Source organism: Homo sapiens, chromosome 5, assembly GCF_000001405.40.
Source record: "Homo sapiens chromosome 5, GRCh38.p14 Primary Assembly".
Classification (NCBI taxonomy): Eukaryota; Metazoa; Chordata; class Mammalia; order Primates; family Hominidae; genus Homo; species Homo sapiens.
This window is the reverse complement of record NC_000005.10, coordinates 15,845,744-15,862,501: the sequence shown is the minus strand read 5'-3', so window position 1 is coordinate 15,862,501 and position 16,758 is coordinate 15,845,744. Positions and strand designations below refer to the sequence as shown.

The 16,758-nt window shown below is 38.2% G+C and overlaps 1 protein-coding gene and 1 long non-coding RNA gene across 12 annotated transcripts in view; one reads left to right on the top strand and one right to left on the bottom strand.

Annotated features, from left to right (window-relative positions):
- The window catches only part of LOC107986343 (uncharacterized), a 47,786-nt gene extending 31,704 nt beyond the window's left edge, over positions 1-16,082 (top strand). For 6 of the 7 annotated variants that reach the window (XR_007058704.1, XR_001742399.2, XR_001742398.2 and 3 more), the window contains one exon: positions 3,247-4,314. This is a non-coding gene — a long non-coding RNA (uncharacterized LOC107986343). Of the gene's footprint in view, positions 1-3,246; positions 4,315-15,961 lie in introns of those variants that run through there. The other variant, XR_007058705.1, reaches the window with a different exon arrangement.
- FBXL7 (F-box and leucine rich repeat protein 7) overlaps positions 1-16,758 on the bottom strand; it is a 439,614-nt gene that overhangs the window by 77,292 nt on the left and 345,564 nt on the right. The window lies entirely within an intron of this gene.

Sequence of the window (16,758 nt, the reverse complement as noted above, 5' to 3'; positions counted from 1 at the left end):
GATTCAGTACAATAATATACATAAAATGCCCGGTTTTTGTAGATGTTCAATAAAGGTCTGTATTAGTCTGTTTTTATGCTGTTGATAAGGACATAGCCGAGACAGGGCAATTTACAAATGAAAGGGGTTTAATGGATTCACAGTTCCATGTGGCTGTGGAGGCCTCACAATCATGGTGGAAGGTGAAAGGCACGTTTCACATGGTGGCAGACAAGAGAAGAATGAGAGCCAAGTGAAAGGCATTTCCCCTTATAAAACCATCAGATCTTGTGAGACTTATTCACTACCACGAGAACAGTATGGGGGAAACCGCCCCCATGATTCAGTTATCTTCCACAGGATCCCTCCCACAACATGAGAGAATTATGGGAGCTACAATTCAAGATGAGATTTGGGTGGGGACACAGTCAAACCACATTAAGGTCATTTCTCCATTCTTTTCTTTCCATTCTCAAAGACAGTCAGTGTTAAAACTCTTTCCATAAGTTTAATTTTCCATGTCACCTTATACCACTAATTATGCCTGGCCTATAGTAGATACTCCATAAATAAATGTTTAATAAACAATTAAATGAAGTCTGGCTGATCATATATTAAAATATGTATTTGTAGAAGATTACTGCAACCTAGGTCCTTAGACAAATGGAGTTGGAATATGGCGGATATAACAGGGTGAGCATGTGCCACGTTTTTCAGAAGGAGCCCAACAATGTGCCACATTGCACCAGGTGACCTGAAGAGGGCTGCTGATTTTCTGTGGTCAACACCCCACGACTTCAGGACACCAGCAGGGCTGGTTATGTTAATAGGACTATGCTACCAGCTCTCTCTCTTCTGTTCATATCCCTGCTGCTATATTCTAGAGAAGCCTGTGTTTCTATCTTTGCTTGGCCTTAAAACCAGAGGTTGGGAAGTATGGGTAATAAGGTCTGCTCCATGCAGTCCTCTATGCTCAGTGGCTCTGAGAATCACCAAGTACAGTGTAGTTTCCCACTGAGTCAGTATAGATGTCCTTTGTTGGGTGTCCGTGCAACTGTCACTACCTTATGCCCCATCACTCTGTGCCATAGCAAAGATGCCTTTTGCCTTCAACCACATAGGTGGCTGAGCAAGAGAGGGCTTTGGCTTGACAGAAGATCTCAAGCATTTGCTTTCTGCCTTCTAGTTTGAGTGGTTGTTGTTGCTCTTTTCAAAGACTTCAGATACAGGGACAATGTAAATGTCAGTCATTCTGGTAATATCCTTGCATATGTGGTCTGTGAGGCAGCCATCCTTGGGAGCTTGTGCCTGTGTCTGAATTATAAGAAAGTGTGATGACAATGGCACTCCTGTTTCAAGTTTTAGGTATCAGTACTGCCATGGTCACACCTGGGCCTAAGAAACCACCTATTATCTTGGTAAGGCCAATTAAGCCACAAAACATGCAGTGTTAAAGAATACACACTGGGTACAGATGTACCACTGTGGAATGCCATGTAGCAAATATTATCTTGAAGCACATTCTAGGGTAGCAAAAAGTGTGGTGCAGACAGCCTAGAAATGAGAATCAGCAGATAAGAACTGCGGTTCCACCATAACTGCTAACCAGCTGTTTGACCTTGGCAAAGATACTTAACCTCTTTGGACCTTAGCTTCTCTAAGTATATAATTAGACATCTGGTCTAGACAATTAGTTTCTAAATCTCCTGTCAACTCTAATACTCTATGATTATTTCGGCCCATAGTCTAGTAATTTTCCAAGACAAGTCCAATAATAAGAACCATATCACCCCTAAGTATCTAATTGGTTAAAGAAGCCTTGGATTTGTTGACAACTACGAAAATGAGGAACTAAAAAGCCAGGTTAAGGGAAATTAATACACTGATGAGGATGAATGTGAGAAGACAACAAAGACTGGAATAAGTGCTTTTCAAGGACTGGCTCCAAGGGACCTGAATTTGCATAAGCTTATCCGAAACTAAAATAAGCCCAACTTCCTAAAGAATTAAATATTATCTGTGCAACTAGGACTTTTCAATACGATGTGCAAGGCTTGGATCAGAATTCCTTATTGGTAGCCTGGATGCACTGGACTTCTTTGACAAGAGATACAAAGAATAAAATAAATCAAGCAGGACAGCCAGAGGGCATTTCTCAATATTTATAAACTAAAAATGAAGAGTTCTGGAAATAATATTGAAAATAAAATATCTGATTCAATTTTCTCATACTTAATAAATTTAGGTAACTCTAGGCTGTCAGATAGGAGAATATGTGTCCACATAAATAGAAAAGTACAAGGAATAAAATTTTGTTACCAATAAATTGTTTGAAAACTGGAATTCCACGTATGCCTATATATTTTCCCTAGTCTTCTCAGCTGAACTTTGATTTCCTAGAAGTATGTGCTTTTTATTTAATAGTTCTAGATATAAATATTCAATGGATCTAAAATCTCTATGATGTACAGTCCCCTAATATTTACAACTGTCTGCAACTGGATGTTGATCTGCATTTTCTGATTGTGTTTCTAACTACCCATGAAGGAATGAGTTTTATTGATAAAGAGGATAAACTTATGAGTCAAGCCTGAGTTTGATGTTAACTCTACCATTCACAAATTGTGAACCTTGGTCAACGTATTCAAATTTTTATATCCTCAGGTTCTTTATCTGTAAAATGGGTCAGGGTTTCTCAGCCTTGGCGCTATTGATATCTTGAGTGGTGACATGGTTTGTCTGTGTCCTCACCCGAATCTCATCTTGAACTGTTGTTCCCGTAATCCCTACATGTCGTGGGAGGGACCTGATGGGAGGTAATTGAATAATGGGGGCAGGTCTTTCCTGTGCTGTTCTCATTATAGTAAATAAGACTAATGAGATCTGATTGTTTTTATAAAAGGGAGTTCCTCTGCACACACTCTCTTGTCTGCCGCCATGCGAGACATGACTTTGCTCCTTTTGCCTTCTGCCATGATTGTGAGACTTCCCGAGCCACGTGGAACTGTGAGTCAATTAAAACCCTTTCCTTTATCAGTTACCTTGTCTTGCGTATGTCTTTATTATCAGTGTGGAATGGACTAATACAGGTGAGATAATTTGTCCTTTACTCAGTAGATGCCAGTTGGATACCAGCAGTTGTGACAACCAACAATGTCTCTAGACATTGTTCTGTGTTCCCTGTGGGGCAAAATCACCCTAGGTTGAGGATCTCTGATGCTTATCTCAACTGGGGTAATCATGCTTATCTTATTGTGTCACTGGAAGGATGGAATAGAAGATGGATAAAAAGCTTCTACTGCAGCCTGGGCCCAGTTCACTTTCTCTCTTGGCTCCAATCCTGGTGGACACAGTAGGGGCTCCTCAAAAGCTCCACCCATCACCTCCTTGAATCACTGCATCATCTACTTCACACTGGGGCACAGACAATTGGATGGCTTCTTTGATCTCTGTCTAGCACTTGATCGTAAGTATTGGATTTGAAAACCTAACTTTAAATAATGTGAGGAAGAGGATCCAAGGTATGTTTTATTTCAACATATTAAAAATGGATATCAGATATAAAAATACTGGTTAAGTTATATAAGTAGAATTGTTTCCAGACCATATTGTGTATTAATTATATCCTAGTTCATAGCCATAAAACAATATTTTATTATACTACATTTCCGGTGGTCACTGAGCATCCATGAGTATAGTAAGTGGAAAAATGGTAAAATCTGCAAAATGGTTCTATATTAGATTTTATTAAATAAGAGAAGCAACAACTTAAATCAGACTCAAAAAATCAAAATAATTTGGCTCCTTTAAAAAGCAAAGAAAGATCAACAAAAAACTAACATTTGGCCGAGGTAGCTTGCTCCCTTGTGGATTCAGAGCTGAAAGTTACTGAAGACATATCAGTACAAATGTGCACATTAGATAATTCCCACTAAAGCATCTCTTGCAAATAAAATTTATGGACATCTGACAGCATTTATTGCCTGTCCTTTATAAACACAGTACTTAACAATAAATGCCCTCAAAGAATTCTCCAGTTCTCAGATCCCACCACAGAAGGACTTAAGCTTCAAAACTACTGGCTTTCTTCTGAAAACCTTTTTTTCATCCAATGAATACCAAAAGAACCTCTTTCCTGAATAAAATATTAGCTGAATGGTTTACTGTAGAATAATCCCTTATCTTAGCTATCAATGCTGATGTGTCATTTATGGTTATTTGTTATATGATAGATAAAATGTTTGAATGATAAATCCTAAATAAGTTTTGAATATGTATTATATATAATATGCATATGTTATATATATTATGTAAAATATATATATACTTTTTCCTCCCTGCTCCAGTTTTTTCCATCTCTAATAGTTGTAAGGATAAAATTTGCAATAATTCTTTTACAGTGTTACAGAATTCTAATGTGAATAAGAAAAAAAGGAATAAGACTGGAATACCAAGCCATGAACTTGGAAAGAAATCCAAACTGGCATACTGGTGAATACTACATTTTCTTGAACCAATGTGCCAACTTGGAACAATTCTTTAACTTACCTGTTTCTATTTCCTCAACTTATATCTATCGGTCCTCAAAATAGAGACATGACAAACATACACATTCAATAATTATACACATATACACATATACCAGATGCTGTAGCATTTACAATGAAGTCACCCTTTGCAAATCATTTTCACATATGTCTGCTAGTAGTTAAAAAGATACCTAACTTTATTGGAGGAAAAAATAAATCATCTATTTCTGCATAATTAAGCTAAGCTCAAATATGTTTTCTGATCCCAATCTAATTGTATTGATTTCTCACTTTGCCTAAGACCACAAGAAAACATTCACTACTTTTGCCACCTTTAAAATCTTTGATCCTGATCTTCTATGTTTGATGGTGCCTACGGCTCTCTTATGCTCATGACATTTTAGTGAACTTCACTAGGTGACTTTGTTGGAATACCTCTTGGAAACAACTTACTTTATAGAAAATAAGTAAAACATAGAAATATAGCATGCAAGTGAAGAGCATGGACTCTGGGACCATATTGCCTAATTCTAATGGTGGCTCAGCCTCTCAGGAGATGTGCTGATGGGAAACGTCATTTAGGCTCTCTCTGTGTTCCTCAGCTTCCTTATCTGCAATCTGGGGATAGTAATTGTACCCAACTCACAGAGTTGATATGAGAATTAAATGAGTTTAAAATTAGAACAGTGCCTGGAACTCTGAAGTGTTGGCTTGCTATTATTATACTTTACATAGTTAATATTATAATTCAGCTGGGCTTGACCCCAGTACTTTCTACAGGTGTAAGGATGAGCAAACCCCTACCCCTCTCAGGCTCAGTGTTTTGATCAGTAAAATTGAGGTGGGATGAATGATCTCTATCCCTGTCATTTGGTTAGGGTTTACTGACAATGCCTGCGGCAGTGCCATGGGAGTATAAATTGGTAAGATGTTATGGAAGGCAATGTTGCAGTATGGTTTATAATGTAATGGGTTCATACTTTTAGTCTTGGGAATTTGTAATGTAGGTAATTTATCTTACAAAAATACTTGCATACATACATAAAGATAAATATATATGAATGTTTATTAAAACATGTTTAAAAATGACCGCAATATGCATTTATTAGTAACTGGTTAACTATGACAGATAATGCTACTTTAATTTATAGCTATTCAAAAGGAGTTTGGAAGGAGTCATGGAAGTAAACAGCCAAGTGGAAAAACACAAGTATGTATATCATGGTCACATTTTGAAAAGAAAGAAAAAAAAGGAAGGAAGGAAGGAAGGAAAAGTGAATGAAAGCAGTAAAAAAATACATGTGTATCTTAGAATATGGACAGAAAACAGATTTTAAAAACATGTGCCAGACAATTAACAGTAGTTAATCTGGAGTGGATTTATTGATGTCTCTATCTTTTATGTCATGTATTTCTTTATTCTCTAGTTTTTTTTTTAATTTTACTTTCAGTTTGGGGGTACATGTGCAGGTTTGTTATATAGGTAAACTTGGGTTGTGGGTGTTTGTTGTGCAGATTATTTCATCACCCAGGAATTAAGCCTAGCACCCATTATTTATTTTTCCTGATCCTCTCCCACCTCCCACCTTCCACCCTCTGATAGGCCCCAGAATGTGCTTTTCCCCTGGTTTAGCTCTGTGTCCCCACCCAAATCTCATCTTGAATTGTAGCTCCCATAATTCCTACGTGTTGTGGGAGGGACCAGGTGGGAAATAATTTGAATCATGGGGTCGGTTTCCCCATGATACTGTTCTTGTGATAGTGAATAAGTCTCACAAGATCTGATGGTTTTATCAGGGGTTTCCGCTTTTGCATCTTCTTCATTTTCTCTTGCCACCACCATGTAAGAAGTGCCTTTCACCTCCCTGTCATGATTCTGAGATCTCCCCAGCCACATGGAAGTATATGTCCAATGAAACCTCTTTTTCTTCCCAGTCTCAGGTATGTCTTTATCAGCAGTGTGAAAATGGACTAATACATCCCCTCTATTTGTCCATAAGTAAATATTACTTTGGTAGTTTGAAACAAAAAGCTGTTAAGTTTTTCTTTTTAAGAACAATCATAGACTTTGGAATCAGACAAGCTTGGGTTCAAATTGTATCTTTATAGCTTTAAAGCAGTGTGACCAAGTTCAAACTATTTAAACTCTCTGTTCTTATTTCCTTAGTTGTAAAATGGATAATATGGAACTCTCCTTGTTACATAAAAATTAGTTTAGAAAGTACATTTAAATTCACTATCACAAAGCCTGGCAAACTGTAAATGTTCCATAAATGTTGGTTCTCTTCCCTCCACTCCCTGCTAATTACAAAATATCTGCTTATGAAGCTGTTTATAGTTTAAAAATAGAAATATATTTCTCTACAAAGATTTTTATTTAGCTCTAGGTGTGACACAAATTTAACAGATTGAATTTGTGATAACTTTTACCTTAAATGTATCATTTTTCCTACGATCAGAGTTATTTTAGGAGGAACAAGAAAATATATGACCTAAGATCTGAAAAAAAATGGTTAACATTTAGCACTATTTTACAGTAGGTCCATCCAGAATAAAAGTATGGGTGTCCACTGTGTCTCAATCCATCTATAAAACAGTAAAGCACCACATAGTGAAGTGAGAGTTATTTCTATATATATATATGCAGAAAAACGTCTGAAAGGGTAAAAGCACCTCAGCATCAAGTGTCTATTTTTCAGATGTAAAATTACAAGTAAATTTCTTCTGAGCTTTTTTATATTTTACACATTAACAAAATTTATGTCTTTTGAAATAAAAATGCACAAAATTTTGTTTATACCTAAAATATGTAGAGTTATACAATGATGAAAAATAAACCATGGCCCTTGATAATGATTTTACTTTAATTTTCTATGAAAATTAGCAGGGCAAACTTTCAAGCTAAGTGTTTTCTTAATTTGGATGAGGTCAACTAAATTCTGCAAAGGAAGTAGAGACAATGGATTTTGACTTGTTTCTAATATGAGGAAATACCCTGGTCTTATCATTACAACAGTGGATTGTTACTTTTGTTTTATTGTAAACAATTCAAAAACACATTAATGAAGAAATTGATGGGTATTATTTAGGGAATAGCATCTGTTTTTTTTGGTTTGACTGAGTCTGTTATGATCGAATAGTTTAGTGTATTTGTGAGAAGGGAATAACCATCAAATGCTCACTCAAAACAGAACTTGACTAAAAAGTTTGGGTAACTTAATGCAATGGGAAATTGTTAAAAATGGGTGAAGGATGTTTGTCACTCGCTTCAGCCAAAATGACCTGTTTCAGGCTGAAAGCATGAGCCTGCAACAGGTGGGAGAGTGCGTGAGAAAGTATGAAGTATTATACTCTTAATATGTTCAAATTCAAAAGCATTTTCAAATTAAAAAAGGATTTAAAAATCATACAGTTTAATTTCTCCTATTTCTAGAAAAGCATTTGAGTTGAACTTGAACTGGTTCTGGAACCCAGATCTCCCATCTCAACCTTCTTCCTTCTTTCCTTTCCACTAAAGCATGCTAATGTAATTAACATTCAGGTAAAGTCACATGGCACATAGGCTGAAGATTACCCAGACAGACTTCAGATCCTACTGAAAGATAGAATAATTAATATGATGGCTAACAGGATGTTTGTCAAAATTATATTTTTGGAATTTGATTTTTTTTCACCTTTAGGCTGACCTATTAATTATAGTCAATTACCGTATGTACACACTTATGAGGAAAAAACACTTCTTAGTGTTGCATGTCCAAATGAACCCACTGTGCTGAGGCCCTATATGTGTCTGATAAATTACTAACAGATGGTTGTTTATTATATGGATTTCACAGCTCCTCTGCCTCTCTCTCTTATTTCTGCTGAGTATTCTGGTAACATAACCATTTCTCTCTAAAGACAGAAAGATGAAATCAGAGTAAGGAAACTCCCAAGTGGTCCACTTTATTCTACTGAATATTTTAGTCCAATGGCTTGGCAGAGAGGACCTTTGTAGATGTTGATGAAAACAATCTGTTACATCGCTGTCACTGTTCATTAAGAGACTTGCAAAGATCAAATATCCATATGTCATTCAAGAAGATAGCCAATTATTATAAATGTGGAATTTAGAGCTGTGTACTGAACAAATTCAAACTCCACAAAGCTACTGCACTGATTTTTCTAAAACCATCACCATAAGGAAAATTCATATTCCTGGTCACAAACACAAAACTCTTTAGATCTTACCCTTGCCCATAGCCTTGACTTCATGCTTTGCCCCTTCTTGCCTTGTATTAATACTTAAAAATCCAGCCCTGTGAATGGCGTTTCTTCTCAAGTCAGAGCATGCATCCACCTGCCTGCCTGGGGCATGAAGGACTTGGACTTGAAGGACAGCATGATATGCTCCTCGACAAGGTCTCCTCCCAGTTACTCCGCATTGAACATCCCTATCACAAGGATGCTTGTCCAGGATTGAGTCTCATTACTAAGGTCCCAGGAATAGATGTTCCCCGCTCACCTCTCGCCACCCCTGCCACTAGCCCCAAGTACCATCTCTCAACTCGAGGTCTCTACCCAGCCATGCCTTCTCCGTGGTAGGCTCCTCAGATCTCTTCATTCAACTAGTAACCCCTTTCTCATCCCATAAATTCCCCTTCAAGATGTCACCTCCTTGAAAATACAGAAGCACAGCCAGAGACTGCTCATGGCCCCTCTATCTCAAACCCCACTTCACTGAATCAGCCCTGGGGTGTGCCGGCTGGCTCTTCTCCATGCTCTATGGCACTCAGTGCTTGCATGTTCAACACATTTGCTGTGTTCCACTGTAGCACAGTGATTCTGAGTGTGGACTCTGGAACAAGTGCCCCTGGGCTCAAATTCTGGCTCTTCATTTGCCAGCAGGATTACATAAGACAAGTGACTTGCTTCACCTTCCTTATTTGTAAACTAGACATAAAAAGCATGATCTGCCTCATAGAGAAGAGGATTAAATAAATCAATATATCTAAAGCTTACAATAGTCAGCCCTCCATGAGTGACAGCCCTCCATAAGTGACTGTATTTGTGCTTCACCCTTGATGTCAGGATTTAGTTTTCCCAGGAAAGTCTTACTTATTTGTATAACCATTGCCCCTCACAGAGTGCTTTGCCTCTAGTAAGCTCCATATGTACAGTGGCCAAACTGAACTAGTAAGAATAAGGGGAATAAACTCAAGGTGAGAAAATCCTAGAACTGGAATTATCTAAACACCCAGGTTTAGTTCCAAATTCATGAAGCAAAGAGGAGATCTATGTAGGCATATATGGCCATGTTTTTTTTTTTTCCAGGGGAAACTATTTCAGATGATTCTACCCTTGACTGTAAATGTGGTCTTCTCCAACAGCAGTCAGTATGTAGCTTCTGACTAATACCAAAAGGTTTCATGTCTATGCACGGTATTCTATTATAGTTTTCAACAGAAAGTACAAATTACCGGATGCCTGATAAATTCATCCAGAAACACTAAGAAAAACAGATGCTATTTTCCAAACCTTATCAAATGATTCCCTTTCTCCTCACTCACCAGGGTAGTTTGGGGCCAAATATGATGGAAAAGTAATTTGCTGACTTCTGACCACTTGCACACTCCAGAGGGAGGGGCTGGGGCAGTAAGGCAGATATATCAATTTCCCACACTCTACTCTCTTCCTTCTCTGCGTGGTTAAAAACAAAACAAAGTATTTGATTTCCTCATTTTTTCTACTAATGGAAGATGACAGATCCAATGGTTGAGCTCACAAATGAAAATCTTTATTTTGTATGATCAGAATCTTTCTGTTTCCATTGTAACCAATCCAATACCAGAGAGATATTCCAAAGTTTGGAAGGATAGTGCAAGTCAGCTATGATCTAGCATGTACTGAAGGACTTTTCACCAAGATGTCAGCTCCCTACACACTCAGAGACTTAGCTAGCTTTGACCTTGAAGCCATTGACAGGGCATGCAAAGGAGAGATAATGGGTTGTTCCTGCTTGGAGGTTTGTGTTCTAGATATACCTTTATTATATTTTAGACATTCTTCACTACTAAAAAGTAAAGTGGTTACCTTAGGGGGAGGCCACAGGGTAGCTACATATAGGAAATATATATATTACAAAAAAACTAGCCAAGGAACTTTGTGTGTGTGTGTGTGTGTGTGTGTGTGTGTGTGTGTATTAGTTTGCAGAATCTTTTTTTCCATTTGTTATTTATTTGCGTGAGAATAGCAATACACAGGCTTATATTTATCCTCAGCCCTCCCTAGCCCTCCCAAACTATATTAACTACCTGACTCTTAAAAAGAATTGTGAAGGAACTAAAATGATAATGCAAAGAGACATGGAAAATAATATTTATTTAATTTATATGGATTTAGCCTTGAGAATTACTTTATGCTAAGAGACTCAGGGTGACTACAACCCCCACTCACGGGCAGAACAAGAGGCTAAACATGTCCTTATGCTGCAGAGTATATTTCAAACTATTAGAGTGACCCATTATTTCATTAATTTAAGTACATTTCTGGTTGCTGATAAAATGAGTTCTAGCCTGTTGGCGGACAAGAAGAGAAGAACAAGGCTTTATTCCTATGGTTAGGTGCCGTTGCGACCTGAGGCACATGCTATTGTATGAGTGATTCTGACAAAGAGAATATCTGTTTTCAACTTGCACTTCATTTTGCACACAGGCTAAAATAGGAAAAGAGGCCATTTATGCATCACTTTCAAACACAAAGTACTTGATAGAGAAAAAAAAATTCTCTGAACAGTGGTCAGACTCTCCAAATAGACAAGCTGATGCCAAATAAAAGGAGTGATTGTGAACGGACCTGGCAGCACGTTCTTCAGGAAATGGCCGGGTGTGTGTATCCTTGCTGATTACATGTATAATAGCTCCACAAGCAATGCTGTCTATCAAGAAAGGCTGCATCTCAGAGTCGTGTTTTCAAAAGGAAAGAGAATGAGCACTCAGCTGAGCCTGTCTGGAAAGAGGCAAAGCGGCTCTAGGAGAGGGGAAGGAGTTGGGAGTTCTTACATGCTGGCGACAGCCAAGCCGCAAGAGATGAGCAGGGCACAGAGCACACGTTCAAAGGAAAATCCAGTGTTGACTTTTACCTCTACAGGATGTTTGAAAAAGGATTCAGGAAAATCAAAACTCAAAAGCATAGATCAGCCTGTGGAAAGTCCAGCATGTCTTTCCACTTTATAGTGAACTCTCTGGAACAAAAAGTGACATTCAGATTTCAAGTCACAGCTAGGATATCTGAGCCTCATGGGTAATGGGAACATGTCCGGACAACATTGGGAAATGAGTGGGCGCTGCCCTGCAAGAACCGAATGGGATACAATGCTGGAACACACTTGCCACAATGCCTAGCAGTAAGTTCTATGAAAACATTATCATTCCCAACATTAATACTAATCATTATAACAAACATCTAAATTTTAAAAGGCCCTTCTACCTTTGTCACCCTGTAAATGACATGGATAAAGTCATAGTTTATGTGGCTGTGACACCACAAAGACCCAGGGCTGATTTACCTGGCAATACCCCCTTTCTCTACGGAAGCTGTGGTTCAAAGGGACCATAGCTAGAAGCTACTCTGCAAGGGAGGCTATGAGCTTAGCTCTTAGAGCCCAACTGGGAAAGAATATTGTACAATAACGTCTACAAAATTACTACTTTTCAGCCTGGAATCACGTTTGTGATCTTCTTTGGAACTTATCAATGCAAAGCTTCATAATAACGGAATGTTTTCCTATTGTTGCTTGGATTGCCTTAATCTCTTACCATAACTTTTTCATCCCCCAACATTTAAAGTTTTTGTATACTAAAAAGTAATAGCTATTTATTTAATTTAAAATATTTTACCAGCTTTGAAGTTACAGTGTGTGGATATCTAAGATATCAATCTAAGCTCTAATCTATACAGGCAGAAGTGCTGGTGCTTGTGAAAGCAGGACCTGGAAATAGACTGGGTTCAAGTCCTAAGTCAACCCCCACTAGCTCAGGTCAGATAAGTTGATTAATCACTCCATGCTTCAGTTTTCTCATCTGTATAATGGGAAAAATGAGAGTGCTTCACTCATGGGAGAATTGAAGGAGTTCTTAATAATTATCAAGCTCTAAAAACAGACGAGGCAGAAGCTAAAAGATTTTAATGAACTTCACATTTTTACAGGTATGAATTTGGGTAAACTGTCATAATAGTATGAATCATTTCAAGAAGTTAAAAACAAACATGAAAATTTGCATTTTGAATTTGTAGGGATGTCTTAATCTGTTTCCACTCTGCTAATAAAGACACACCTGAGACTGGGTAATTTATAAAGAAAAAGAGGTTTAGTGGACTCACAGTTCCACATGGCTGGGGAGGCCTCACACTCATGGCAGAAGGTGAAAGACACGTCTTACATGGTGGCAGACAAGAGTGAACTTGTCCAAGGAAACTTCCCCTTATAAAACCATCAGATCTTGTGAGACTTATTCACTACCATGAGAACGGTATGGGGGAAACCACTCCCACAATTCAATTATCTCCTATCAAGTCCCTCCTACAACAGGTGGTAGTTATGGGAGCTAAAATTCAAGATGAGATTTGGCTGGGGGCACAGCAAACCATATCAAGGAATTTGTTTCTAATTCGCTAATTCTATTCATCCATTCACCAAATGACTATTAGCCTCTCCTAGAGGATCTCTTTCAGATGCAATGAAGAGAAAAAACAAACTGATACTAAATTGTAATAGGCAGATCAAGAGAGGAGTCACACACTGCATTCACTGCACAGTTGGCTTTAATTAAATTTGGCTTTAAGTTTGCAAATATTAAAATCACAGTCCAAAGGATAAAAGGAGTAGGTGAAGCCTATTAAGGTTTTTAATGCATGGAGGAATCACCTGCACAGACCATGTATCAGTGGAGTTCATGAAACTGCACATTACTAGAGCAATCATTTATACATTAAGCGCTAAGAACACCCAAAGAAACATTCCATCTCAGCAGCTGCCATCTTGGATTTACTTTTCCAAAAGAGACAATAATCCAGACTATAGCATTTGAAAACATTCACTCGGGCTTTGTTTCCTTTTAAACAGTCAAAAATTCAGTGCTCCTGAAAAATATTGTTTGAAGTAATTGAGGCCCCTAAAGTTTCTGCAGAAAAAACAGGGGCTCTTTCTTCCTTTTTCATGAAATAAATTTTGGGCTCTCAGCCACAACAAAATCCCACAGTTACTTTAGTTTCATTAGAAAGGTTTACTTTTGACTTAAAGTTCTCTCTTAGTTAAATGATTCCATTAAACATGCGGCCGGGGATGGTGGCTCACGCTTGTAATCCCAGCTCTTTGGGAGACTGAGGCAGGCAGATCACGAGGTCAGGATTTCAAGACTAGCCTGGCTAACGTGGTGAAACCCCATCTCTACTAAAAATACAAATATTAGCTGGGCGTGGTGGCAGGTGCTGGTAATCCCAGCTACTCGGGAGGCTGAGGCAGGAGAATCGCTTGAACCTGGGAGGTGGAGGTTTCAGTGAGCCGAAATCACGCCACTGCACTCCAGCCTAGGTGACAGAGCTAGACTCCGTCTCAAAAAAACAAAAACAAAATGCATGCATGCATATACACTCGGAAAACTGTTTAAGCTTCAAAGAATGTTGTGTCTGCCATATTGTGTTTTTTTTTTAAGAAAGGTAGAATTAAGTAATTGAGGTAGTCCTGATGACACAAAGCATCAGAAAAGCCTTCCAAATTATCACAGAAAGAACAGATTATTATAAATAATTATTCAAAGAACATAATTGTACATACAACAATGTACACTTTGATATTTTTGTCCAATACATTTCTAGCAGTACAACTGCTGGATGGAGTATCTGCCTGTTGCTGTGTAAATAATTATCATAAACTCAACGGCTTTAAACAAAGCTATTTATTTTCTCACAGTTTTTGTGGGTCAGGAGTATTGTTTGGGCACTCAGCAAGGGCCTCACAAGACTGCAATCAGTGTTAGCTGGGCTGTGTTCCTCTCCAGTGCTAAGCGTCCCCTTTCAAACTTAGGTGTTGTTAGAAGAATTCAGGTCCTTTTGGCAGTAAGACTATAGCCCCTGTTTTCTTGCTGTCTGCCCACTGCGGGTGGCTCTCTGCTCCAAGAGGCTCCCATAACCTCTCCCACAACATGGCAGTTTACTTCTTAAAGGTCAGCAGGAGGATTTTTCTCTTTAACAAGGCCCTAGTCTCTCTTCTGAGGGCTTTCACCTGATTAGGTCAGGTCCTCCTTGGATAATCTCCCTTTCAATTAAATCAAAATCAACTGATTTGAGAGCTTTCTGATATCTGCAAGGTCCCCCCACCTTTTCCATATAATGAAACCTAATCAAGAGAGTGAAATTCTTTCATATGCATAGGTCTTGCTTGCCCTAAAAGGAGTGAATTATATACAGGATGTACACAGAGGACAGATATTGTGGGGGCTGATATGGTTTGGCTTGTCCCCACCCAAATCTCATCTTGAATTGTAGTTCCCATAATCCCCACGTGTCATGGGAGGGACCCAGTGAAAGGTAATCAAATCATGGGGGTGGTTGCCCTCATGCTGCTGTTCTTGTGATAGTGGATGAGTTCTCATGAGATCTGATGGTTTTATAAGGGGCTTTCCCTGCTTTTGCTCAGCATTTCTTGCTGCTGCCATGTGAATAAGGATGTGTTTGCTTCCCCTTCCACCATGACTGTAAGTTTCCTGAGGCCTCCTCAGCCATGTTGAACTGTGAGTCAATTAAACCTCTTTCCTTTATAAATTACCCAGTCTTGGGTATGTCTGTATTAGTAGCATGAGAATGGATTAATTCAGGGACCATCTGGGAATTCTGCCTACCACACTGGGTAAAGCAGTGCTTCCTTTAAAACTCTGGATCAGTATGCTAAATTGTCCTCTAAAGAGGGTGGGATAATTATGAGTTCACCAAGAGTGTACGATTTGCTATTTTCTCATACCTCATCAATATTCAAGATTATTGGTTCTTTAATTTTCCACCCAATCTGGTAGAACATTTTTTTCTTATAATTTTTAATTTCTATATCTTTGAAAAAAAGATTGAGCATAATTTCATGTGTTCACAAATCTGTGAATTAACTTTTTACATCATTTGCTTTCATTTTAAATGGTCATTTATTTTGTTTTTACTGATAAAAGCTGTCTGTATATAACAGATGACAACCTTCTCTTTTTTCATCTGTTACAACTATTCTCTCTTCTCTTTCTCTCTCTCCCAAGAATGTAACTTGAGCTGTGTCTCATTAATGCCACTTTTAAAGAAAAATCAGATTTTAAGCTCAACCAGTCAGAAGCAGCCAACAACCTGTATAACTAGGGACTTTGCAACAAGATGGACCAAATAAGACAACGGTATAATTGTAACCAATCAAATATTTTCTTGGCTTTCCTTTGCAGGTTATCATATAAAAGTCCCCCTACCCTTGCATTCTCTTGGTGAAACTCCAGAACATCTTCTGGCTTGGAGCTACCTGATTCATAAATTGCTGTTTGCTCAAAGAAACTCTTGAAAATTTTATTGTGCCTCGGTTCACATATTTAAGAGATTTTGTGACTTATATTTCTTTCACTCTTTTTGCCATGGAGAGATTTTTATAACAAATATATAATAGTGAAATAAAAACAATGTAAACTCCATTAATTTGTTAAAAAACTGACATGTATTAATACTCTTCAAACATTAGAAGATGAGATGAATTTATAAGCTATGGATATGGAAAGAAGAACTCTATTACAATCAGTAGAAAAACAAGTTATAAAAAAGGATTCATTCATTGTGATACCCTGCTTGATCAAATGTTTGTTATCTACATATTTGAATAATTGTGTATTCATTTAAAAATGTCCAGAATGGCACATGCCAAGATATATCCACACACCATAGTGGATATATTTGGAGAACTGGACTAGGCAGATGGCTTTGACTTTTTACTTTATTCATTTATGTATTTTTATTTTTATTTTTTGAGACGGAGTCTCGCTCTGTTGCCCAGGCTGGAGTGCAGTGGTGCAATCTCGGCTCATTGCAAGCTCCGCCTCCTGGGGTTCACGCCATTCTCCTGCCTCAGCCTCCCGAGTAGCTGGGACTCCAGGCACCCGCCACCACGCCCGGCTAATTTTTTGTATTTTTACTAGAGACGGGGTTTCACCGTGTTAGCCAGGATGGTCTCGATCTCCTGACCTCATGATCCACC